The sequence below is a fragment of the Homo sapiens genome, chromosome 10 (genome assembly GCF_000001405.40).
Source record: "Homo sapiens chromosome 10, GRCh38.p14 Primary Assembly".
Lineage (NCBI taxonomy): Eukaryota > Metazoa > Chordata > Mammalia > Primates > Hominidae > Homo > Homo sapiens.
The window spans coordinates 30,594,939-30,606,212 of record NC_000010.11 but is presented as its reverse complement, the minus strand read 5'-3'; the positions used below and the strand labels follow the sequence as shown (position 1 = coordinate 30,606,212).

Below are 11,274 nucleotides of genomic sequence, written 5' to 3'. Positions count from 1 at the left end.
ATCGTGGCTGAATGAGACAACCTGAAACTGAGGCTAAGTTAATTTTCACAAGTCCCTGCTACTAAGATTTCTAAGCTACAGGGAAAAGGTAAACTCATCGCTAGATTTCCCTGCCTGCTCAAGACCACACCCCAACTGGCAGCATAATTCTTGGTGAGGATGAAAAAACTAAATATATACTTGCCTTGAAAAGCAAATATAGGTTTTCAAAACAGTATCCTGTTGCCAGCTAAAGCAAACAGAGTGGTTTCAACCCCAGGAACTGACAGGCAGTGCAAAAGGGCAGATTGGAAGAGATTAAATATTTGTGCAAAAGCCCGTACCCCCCTTCACAAAGGGCTGCCTCTGTCTGGCATAAAAGGGAAGGGATGCGGGAACTGAGAAGAGGGCCTTATCTTTCCAGAGGAAGGACTGTTTGGGGCCGGAGGAGGTGGAGAAGGGGAGAGAAAATAGCGGAGAAGGGGAGGGATAATAGCAGAGGAGGGGAGACATCAGATGGGTGTGAGTCCCCTGGTCACTGTCGGGCCAGGCCAGGCTGCTGTCATCGGCTGAGGCTGCACTTCTGACCCCTGCAGTGAAGCCAAGCCACGCGGGCTCAGGGGCAGACGGAAACAGGATGACTCGAGCTTTGAAGCTGCCAGCCTGTGATGGCAGAGAGGCCAGAAAGAAGCCCGCTCCAGAACCCACTCTCTCAGCAGCAGCAACACATTAATTTGCAGGGGGGTGGGAAGGACAGAGGAGGGGAGGGGCAGAGAGTGGAGGGCAGGAGAGGTCGGGCTGGGACGGAGGCCAGGGAAGCGGGTCATGTGCACAAGGCAGCCCAAAGGCCTGCCACGGGGTGCCCAAGAAGGACCTTAGAGAAAGGAGATAAAATTGTAGTTTTCGACTCTGCTGACAGTTGATCAAAGCTGGTTTCTGCTTCTGAGACATTTTAGTGTCTGCCAGGAACTCAGAATTTAGAAGAGAAAAAAGAAGAGGAAAGGAAAAAATCGACAATGGAGCAGTCTGCGCGGGCGGTGGGGAGAAAGATGAGAGTCTTTGAGGAATTGGGATTTTTCTGTGGACTTTGGAGCTCCTTGGGGCCCACCACAAAGACCAACATGTGGCCGGCGGCACAGGGAATAACACCCCTGGGAGGCCCTTAGAACACAGCTCAGGTTACCCACATTTGAGGAGAGACAATGGGAGGGACGGCCTGCAATCCCTTGGGCCAGCTGAGGGACAGGGCTGGAACTGTGGTTCCAAACCCTGGCTGCATAATGCAATCGTCAGGACATTTCAAAAAAATGCAGATGCTGGCCAGGCACGGTGGCTCACTCCTGTAATCCCAACACTTTGGGAGGCCAAGGCAGGCAGATCACGAGGTCAGGAGTTCGAGACCAGCCTGACCAACATGGTGAAACCTCATCTCTACTAAAAATACAAAAAAATTCGCCGGCATGGTGGCAGACGCTGGAGGCTGAGGCAGGAGAATGGCATGAACCCGGGAGGCGGAGCTTGCAGTGAGCCGAGATCGAGCCAGTACATTCCAGCCTGAGCGACAGAGTGAGACTCCGTCTCAAAAAAAAAAAAAAAAAAAAATTAGCCAGGCATGGTGGCATGCGCTTGTAATCCCAGCTACTCAGGAGGCTGAGGGAGAATTGCTTGAACCCAGGAAACTGAGGTTGCAGTGAGCCGAGATCACGCCACTGCACTCCAGCCTGGGTAACAGAGTGAGACTCTGTCTCAAACAAAACAAAAAATGCAGATGCCAGACCTGGCTCACTTGAGTTAAATCAGTCTCCCTGAAGATGGGGTCCTGATGCAGGTTTTAAAAAACTCCCTCATTGATTCTAATGCCCAGCCAAAGTCATGAACCCTGAGTAAGAGACTTAATGGGGCCCTGCTGAGGACAAGCTTCCCTTGGGCTATGGCATCCTCTCTCTGCACTGGGTGATATGGTTTGGCTGTGTCCCCACCAAAATCCCATCTGGAATTGTAACTCCCACAATTCCCACATTTCATGGGAGGAACCCAGTGAGAGGTAATTGAATCATGGGGAGTGGGTCTTTCCCAGGCTGTTCTCTGATAGTGAGTAAGTCTCACGATATCGAATGGTTTTAAAAATGGGAGTTTCCCTGCACAAGCTCTTCTCTTGTCTGCTGCCATGTGAGACGTGCCTTTCACCTTCCACCATGATTGTGAGGCCTCTCCAGTCATGTGGAACTGTGAATCCATTAAACCTCTTTCTTTTGTAAATTGCCCAGTCTCGGTTATGTCTTTAACAGCATTGTGAAAATGGATTAATACACTGGGAAAAGAGCATCGGGGTCACCCACCTTCTGACTATTCCCTGAGGACTCAGGAAGCCTTTCCCCCTTGATGGCTGAGAGTCAATCCAGGGACCTCAAGAGTGGAGCCTCATCATCAAAGCAGACTGGGGACAACAGAGGACAGAACACACGCAACATTCAGCAAATATTTGAAGGTCAGGCATGGAGGTTCATGCCTGTAATCCCAACACTTTGGGAAGCTGAGATGAGAGAATCTCTTTAGATCAGGAGTTTGAGACCAACATGGCCAACATAACAAGACCCCCTCACTAAAAAAAACATAAAAATTTTAAAAAATTAGCCAGGTGTGGTGATGCACACTTGTAGTCCCAGCTACTGGGGAGGCTGAGGCAGGAGGATCTCCTGAGTCCAGGAGTTCGAGGCTGCAGTGAGCCATGATCCCACCACTGCACTGCAGCCTGGGCTACAGTGAGAATCTATGTGGAAAAAAAAAAAAAAAAGCCCACCAAAACAGAACCAAAAAACCCCAAATATGTGAGTAACTGTGCCAGGCACTATGCTATGCAAATGGTGAGTCTAACCAATTAGTTGATTCTGCAGCTCTGGGTTTTCCCTGTAACAGAAGAACAAACCATACCCTGAGGTCTACAAGTGCAGAGAGAGCAAAATCACAGTTTCCAAAAAGATAAATCCAGGACTCTTCATGCGAGTATAAAATGAATACATGTCAAACACTTTATCTGACTCATTAATTAATGAGGAAATCAGTAAGGTCTTAATACCAGGTCGGAGAGATGTGAAAAGCTAGGTATTTACAGGCAATTTACAAAAGGAATGTTAGGGTACGATTACTGGGTTAGATACAAGCTAGTTAATATCTTACAGGGAAATAAACTATACACTTTGGAGTTGTTTTTGTTTTTCCTGCCAGATAGAAATGACTTTCATCTCTATCAAGGAAAAATCTATAACTTAACACATAACTTCTCTAAGTCTAGGAATTTTAAACAACAGTTAACAGTGAGTTGAAGAAAATGCTTCTACCCCCATGTGACATTGAAAGGACATGCTGCCACCAATTTGCCTGATTTTCAAGTTTTTGACCATTTTTCTCTCTTTTTTTTTTTTTTTAAGAGTCAGGGTCTCACTCTGTCACTCAGGCTGGAGTGCAGTGGCATGATCAAAGCTCACTGTAGCCTCAAACTCTCACATCAGCCTCCTGAGTAGCTGGGATTACAGGCGCCTGCCACCACAACGGTCTATTTTTTTAAAATTATTTTTCTTAGTAGAGATGGGGTCTTGCTATGTTGCCCAGGCTGGTCTTAAACTCCTGGTCTCAAGTGATCCTTCTGCCTCAGGCTCCCAAAGTCCTGGGAATACAGGAGTGAGCCACCGTGCCCAGTGGATCATTTTTCTTGAAAGAAAAAGGTGGTGAGACCATAGGCCTAGAGAAGAAATAGGAAGGTACAAAGCACAAGAAAGTCCAGAATCGATGCAACTACAAACCCATAAAGTGCAGGTCCTGTCTGGTTATGCTGGGCACTTGTACGAAGGGGTCATCCACATATTAGCTATGGCCACTGGTCCTTCAAGATCCTGGGAAGAGTGACTCTAGGAACATTGGAAAGTCCAAGGCCTTCTGCAAGATTTCTGAGCACTAAAGAGCTTACATTCTCATGGTCTTTTCTGGCTCTGAGCCTCCACTTCTGCTGAATTTGTTTGTTTAAAAATCCTCTCCTTGGCCCAGGCGCAGTGGCTCATGCCTGTAATCCCAGCACTTTGGGAGGCCGAGGCAGGCGGATCACCTGAGGTCAGGAGTTTGAGATCAGCCTGGCCAACATGGTGAAACCCCATCTCTACTAAAAATAAAAAAAAGATTAAAAAAAAAAATAGCTAGGATTACAGGTGGTGCACACTTGTAATCCCAACTACTCGGGAGTCTGAGGCAGGAGAATTGCTTGAACCTGGGAAGTGGAGGTTGCAGTGAGCCGAGATCATGCCACTTTACTCCAGCCTGGACGACAGAGTGAGACCCCATCTCAAAAAACAATAATAATGCTAATAAATAAAAATAAAAATCCTTTCATTGTTATGGTTGTTACTGACAGAAAAGAGGTTTCTTTTCTTCCTTTCTACAACACAGAAATAAAATTAAACCTTCCATAGAAGACATTTATATGGACTTTCCTTAGAAGGTTTAGGAAGATTGAAAGATCTAGATTTCCAACGCAAAAAACTCAGACATAAGCAATTCCTGTTCCTTAAATGATGCTTCTCCTCCTGCTCCCCTTCTGGGGTTTTTCCTCTTGTTTTCTCTTTTCTCTCTGACCAAACAGCCTATTTTTCTTTTGTTCTGTTTTTTGTTTTTTGTTTTTTTTAAGACAGTGTCTTGCTCTGTTGCCTAGGCTGGAGTGCAGTGATGGTATCTTGGCTCACTGCAACCTCCGCCTTCCATTCAAGCGATTCTCCTGCCTCAGCCCCCCATGTAGCTGGGACTATAGGCACCCACCACCACTCCCGGCTATTTTTTGTATTTTTAGTAGAGACAGGGTTTCACCATATTGGCCAGGCTGGTCTTGAACTCCTGACCTGGTGATCCACCTGCCTCAGCCTCCGAAAGTGCTGGGATTACAGGCGTGAGCCATCATTTCCAGCATGTTTTTGTTTGTTTGTTTTTTTAATCATCTTGGCTTGTGATAATTCAGATGCTCAAAGTTTTATCTTCTCTTTAAGCAGTTGATGAAAAAATGCTCTTAAATGAACTTTGATCCTGCCTATAAGAAAAATTTGGTTCTGGCTGATAAGAAAGCAAAATTTTTACCCACACTTATAGTAAAATTTATAGATCCCTCTTCCCCCCACAGCACTGCTCCCTCTGTCCCAGCCCTGCACACCCAGGATCCACCCTGCTCCCAGCTTGAGAGAGGGAAAGACCTAAGTGTACATTTGGGGCAGAAGTTTCTTTGGTTCTGGTGTTCTGAGCATGCCTTAGTTTCATGAACCTCTAAGAATGTCTTGATTTGGTGAGATGGAGCAGGGACCTCTCTAAGGGTCTGCTGAGCACCCCCAAACATGAAAATAAAGGAAAATCTTGAGTTCCTTCAAGGGAAGTTCCAGGCACCTAGCTGGCCCTGAGAAGTAAATGAGCAACTTCGTAAGCAAGAAGGTAATAGTAGCTTCAAACAGTAGCCAAGGGCCGGGTGTGGCCAAGACTCGTGACTGTAATCCCAGCACTTTGGGAGGCCAAGGGAGGTGGCTGTGTCTCTAGAAAAAATACAAAAAAACAACAACAAAAAAAATTAGGCAGGTGTGGTGGTGCATGCCTGTGGCCCCAGCTACACGAGAGGCTGAGGTGGGAGGAAGGCTTTAATTTTAGCCTAAAGGGCAGAGGTTGCGGTGAGCTGAGATCACACCACTGCACTCCAGCCTGGGCTACACAGTGAGACCCTGCCTCATTTACAAAAAAAAAAAAAAAAAAAAAAGATGAAAGCAGCTGACTGGCTGGCTCAGGATATTCACTAGACTGTGATGCCTAACCATGAAGCATTCATTTTCAAAGACCTGGGATTTTATTATTTTATTTGAGTGCATCAGTTTCTTTCCTTTAAAAAAAAACGTATTTCAATAGTTTGTGGGGTATAAGTGGTGCTTTTTGTTACATGGATGAATTATATAGTGGTGATTTATCCCCAGTCCCCCACCCACTTCCCCTGTCTGCATCTTTAAAGTCCATGATATCACACTGTACACCCACTTCCCCTTTCTGCATCTTTAAAGTCCATGACATCACACGGTATGCCTTTGCATACTCATAGCTTAGCTCCAACTTATAAGTGAGATCATGTGGTTTTGGTTTTCCACTCCTGTGTTACTTCACTTAGAATAATGGCCTCCAGCTCCATCCAAGTTGTTGCAAAAGACATTATTTCCTCCCTTCTAATGGCTGAGTAGTATTCCATGGTGTATATATACCACGTTTTCCTTACCCACTCATTGGTTGATGGGCACTTAGGTTGGTTCCACATCTCTGCAATTGTGAATTGTGCTGCTGTAAATTTACGTGTGCTAGTGTCCTTTTCATATAATGACTTCTAGGAAACGCAGTTTTGATGAACACTCCAACCTACATTCCTTGCATCACTTTGGGACTTTTACACACTCCTATAATTCTCAAACATTTCCGCCCCTCTGCCTTCCAAGTAAGATGCTTACTCAGCCAACAATTCCTGAGTGCCTGCTGTCTGCTAGGTGCTGGATACACAAAGATGAAGAAAACGCAGTGCCTGGCCCAGTCATGAATTCCACTGTTGATGTGTTGAGTTTGAAGTTCCTGTAGTACTTCCGGGTGGAGATGTCCAACAAGCTGTTGACTATTTAGATTTGAAGCTCAGAAGTGACATTCAGAATCAGGGAGACATCGCACTTCATTTGTAGTTGATCATGAGCGTGAAAAGCGTGGCCCAGGACAGAGCATAAAGTGGGAGGAGCTATGAGCAGGTACAGAATCCTGCAGAACGTGGGCATGCCAGCGAGGAGACAGGCTCGCGGAGGACAGAAGGAGGGTTCCGAGAGCCGTGGGCAGAAGCAGGGCAGGGCGGTGTCAAAGAAACCAGGGGCTATGAAGGGACAAAGGAGAAGGGTCCCCTAGAAGACAGAAGAAAGTCCATTGGATTTGGAGCAGGAAGAGGCCCATTGAGAGTGGCCTGAGGACAGAGTGCTTATAAAGACAGCCCAACGACAATGGCTGCTTTTTATAAATAGTGTGGATGAGAAGACGAGAGTCAGGATAGTTACTAGGGGAACACTGAAGGTAGTGGGGAGTCGGTTTGGGGGCTATGTTGGTGTTTGGCTGTTTATTTATTTACTTATTTGTATTGGGAGAAAGAGATTTGATGACATTTACAGATAGAGGGAAGGAGCCAATAGCGAAGGACAGGTTGGTGATTAGAACATGTGAGAAGGGCTGACACCCCCATCCCACTGCTTTTCTCCTTGTCCCAAACAAGCTGTATGCCCTTTGATGGTTTCCTGCCTCCTCTCATCCTCAGACACACCACCTAGAAAAATGTACAGAGTAAAATGGTGAATCGTATGTAAGATCTCTCCTAGCTCTAAGAAAATTCCATTTCCCAATTTCAATCTTTCAGTTATCTAAATAGCAAAGGGAAGAATTATACAGGTTAAGTATGTTTAAATAACTGCCTTTGAAATGAAAGCCAGCCTTATAATATCTCACATCACTAAATGCATGCGTGTCATAAAATGCAAAGCAACCCATTCAAAATAGTCACTGGCTGGTGTGCGGTTGACCATGTAAATGGCACGTCTCCTTCTGCATGTGGATCTAGGGGCTGGCCCTCAAGATCCACCATCCACATGTCACACCCCAGTTGAGTCTTCAGATCCAGCCTGTCTGTATTTCCATTCTCGAGCACTGGGTAATGTGTTCCTGGCTTAGTTCTGTGCCAAACACGTAGTTAACACTTCAATTTATAAATTGTTTGTAATTAGCCTCCCTGGCCAATTACAATAGAGAATTTGTATGCAAGTGAAGATATTCAGGCATGCAGAAAATTAAACAGTCTATACACATATTTAAATACATCTTGCAAATTGCAGGAAACATATTCACATTACGTTTTGTGAAGGCCCCGGCTGTGTTTAATAGGCCCTTTCTAATAAGGAATGTTTTGACTATGATCCTCCCAAACCACTATAGCACTCAACAGAAAGACACATTTTTTTATTCATGAATCTTATAAACTTGAGCTCAAGAAGGCCTTGGCACGCTTGTTTTGTGCCCCAGCAATGGAAGGTGAGTGCTAACCTCATTCATTTCCTTGATGAAAAGGTATCTTGATTGCTCTGCAACTAGAAGAATGGCTACTTTAAGTCCCCGGGGGGGATCTCCATTTCCCTCCCTGGGACTGACACAGAGGGTCAGTCCATTAGGGAGGCCAGACCTCCAAAAGAAGAGGGTCTCAAAAAGACAAAACTTGGTGAGCACGTTCCTCCAACTCAAACATCATTAACACCTTCATTCTTGGGACAATGATAAAGTTTCTTGATGCGTATTGATAATTACCTACTTTAAAGATTATTCAGACCCCCTGCTCTCTTTTCTGTTCCCTCTCTCTCCCTCTCTCAATCTCTGTCTACCTTTTGGTGCAGGAAGAGAACGAGCAAAAATCAAACCAGTCATCTAGGCTCTGCGATAAGCCTTTCAGGTTGGGAGATGAGCCGCCAGGAGAGTCAGGGAGGTTTGGCCGGAAGGAAAAGATGGCTTGTTGCTGTGTTTCTGTCTCTCCTGTTGCGTTTGCTCTCATTACTGATGAACTGGGGGACTGACTGAAGAGAGGGGCTTCCTGTATCTGTGCTCTCTGGGGGCCGACTTCTGCCTGCCTTTCTGGTACCTGTGCTCTGCCAACAATGTGTGGCTTGCATTCAATTTGTCCAAACACTTACTGATTTTAATTAACCGATTTCTGTCCCAAGAACCAACATCAAATACTCTTGTGATCTTTCATGGTGAAGCAGAAACCACTGGGTGAGGGGACAGGAAATCGTCCCGCTCCCAACTCCTGCTGGTTACACTGAGCTGGGGCCAGAAACACCCTGTAAACCCTCGGGCAGTCATTCATTAGAAATAATGTCATTGAAATGGAAGTTGCCATGGTACAGTGGCCTCCAGCTGAGAGCCCAGACTCCTGGGGAGGAGGGAGGGAAGAGGCCTTCCAGCTCCTGCTGCTACTCGTTACCCTCACTCCCACTGCGCAGATAAAGCACCACAAAGGGTTAGCGACTCTTTCATTTAAAAGGTGATTCAGGTGAGGTTTCTTTATAACTCCATTGAATAAACGTTGCAAAAACATTGGGCTCAGAAGAGTAAAATCAGAAGCTGAAACAAAATGACTTAATTGCTTTGCCATATAGAGGCATATTTAGAAATGAGAGGTGCAACAGGAAAGATTGCATCACTGAGATTTTAAATCCTTGGTTACTGCAAGCAAACACAGCCACAAACCTGGATCCCAACTCTGTCCAAGTTGAAATAAAAGCAAGATTGGCTTTATTACAAATGAGTAGAGGTATGGGCTTATTGGGATGGGCAGCTTTTGAATTCTTTTTGCCTGATGTTGTTTTACAGAGATGGATAGCTGGGCATTCCAAGCCCAAGGATAGGGACTCGGATTAAACCAAGTGTGTGGTTTGGTTTTTAAGCTGTGCTGGAGGTTCTGTTACCTAATGACCCAGCCTCTGCGCTCTGCAAATAAGCCTCATCTTTCTGGTGAAATTAACAAACATAGGCTTTTCCACCTGTCACCGTGGGTATACATGGAATGTGGAATTGCTCTTCAACTTCAAGTGGCTTGGGGGGCCCAGCGTGCTCCAGCCCCTCTGAGGTGTCCAACCCTGCCCTGCCTCCTCTTACCTGCGTGACCTTAGGCAGGTTAGTTTCTGTGAACTTCTGATTTGTTACTTCTAAAATTAAATGTATAATAATAATAGTAATACCTACTGTATTTGTTACTGTGGCTGCCTAGCAAATGACCCAAAACTTAGCAGTTTAAAACAATAAACACGTGCAGCCTCACACAGTTTTCTGCAGGGTAGGAATCTGGGAACAGCTTAGCTCCAGCGCAGGACCTCCATGAGGCAGCGGTCAAGGGGCAGGCTGAGTCCAGAGTTATTCCAAGGCATGACTGGGCCCAGAGGACCTGCTTACACAATGGTGCATTCACAGGACTGCAGACAGGGAGCCCCCAATCCTCACCTCCCGGGCTTCTCCACAGCTCACTTGAACGTCCTCATGGTGTGGAAACTGGCTTCCTTTCCCCACGGTGAGTGATTCCAGAGAGAGCAAGGGATTAAGCCACAATAGCTTTTGCAGAATAGCCTGGGCAGTGACAAACCTTCACTTCTGTGTTCTGACGGCCACACAGACCAAACCCAAGTACTGTGGGAGAGGCCCACACAACGCTGCCGACCATGTGTCCCTTGAGGGGTATTAGGGAGATGAGTGTGTGTCCATGTGAAGTAAGCAAATGACACCCGGTAGAGGCTCGATAAAATAAACCAAAGTTATCATTATTTATCCCATCAATACGAAGCATCCCAATTCAAAATGTGAGGCTGAGAAAGAACTGCTAGGTTAACATACAGAAGAGCCAAATGACAGCTGGGCGCAGTGGTTCATGCCTGCAATCCCAGCACTTTGGGAGGCCGAGGTGGGTGGATCACCCGAGGTCAGGAGTTCAAGACCAGCCGGGCCAACATGGTGAAATTCTATCTCCACTAAAAATATAAAAATTAACCAGGTGTGGTAGCGTGCTCCTGTAATCCCAGCTGCTTGGGAGGCTGAGTCAGGAGACTCACTTGAACCTGGGAGGTGGAGGTTACAGTGAGCCGAGATCGTGCCACTGCACTCCAGCCTGGGTGACAGAGCCAGACTCTGTCTCAAAACAAAAACAAAAACAAAAAAGCTGAATGGGGATGACATTTATTCAACAAGTATTTACTCACAGAGTTCTTACTATGCACCAGACACTGTTCTGATTACTTGGACTATATTAATAAACGAAATCAAGATCCCTGCCTTTAGAGGTGAGACACAGACAACTAAAACAGACATAGTAAATGAGTAGATTGTATAGCACATTAGAAGGCAGGATGTGCTATAACAAGAAGAAGAAAGGAAGAGCCAGTCAAGGGGCATTAGGAATGCAGGGGCAGGAGGTGCAGATTGAAATATTCAGCATGGCGCTGGCACGGGTCTTATGGGAAAGGTTCAGCACAGCGCAGAGGGGCCATGAGGCAGGCCCTTTCCTGGGAGACACAGACTGCTCTGCAGAGATTACGTCCTGAGGCTTCACTGCAGCCTGGGACTGTCCCACCTGACTCTCCCTCTCTCTCCTGCATTGGAGATCTGACCTGCATCCCAACCTGATGCCTCCCTCAGCCTCCTCCCTCCTTCCTGATATCTTCTCTTGGGCAGATGCTC

General features: G+C 46.2%; 3 annotated features.

Moving 5' to 3' along the window:
* Positions 155-970: an enhancer, noted in NCBI's record as "H3K4me1 hESC enhancer chr10:30894172-30894987 (GRCh37/hg19 assembly coordinates)". NCBI's record gives its function as "activates a minimal SCP1, AML or CMV promoter by ChIP-STARR-seq in primed H9 embryonic stem cells {active_cell/tissue: H9 hESC(primed)}" and the evidence as "EXISTENCE:reporter gene assay evidence [ECO:0000049][PMID:30033119]".
* Positions 7,993-8,607: an enhancer, noted in NCBI's record as "H3K27ac hESC enhancer chr10:30886535-30887149 (GRCh37/hg19 assembly coordinates)". NCBI's record gives its function as "activates a minimal SCP1, AML or CMV promoter by ChIP-STARR-seq in naive H9 embryonic stem cells {active_cell/tissue: H9 hESC(naive)}" and the evidence as "EXISTENCE:reporter gene assay evidence [ECO:0000049][PMID:30033119]".
* Positions 8,608-9,223: an enhancer, noted in NCBI's record as "NANOG-H3K27ac hESC enhancer chr10:30885919-30886534 (GRCh37/hg19 assembly coordinates)". NCBI's record gives its function as "activates a minimal SCP1, AML or CMV promoter by ChIP-STARR-seq in naive H9 embryonic stem cells {active_cell/tissue: H9 hESC(naive)}" and the evidence as "EXISTENCE:reporter gene assay evidence [ECO:0000049][PMID:30033119]".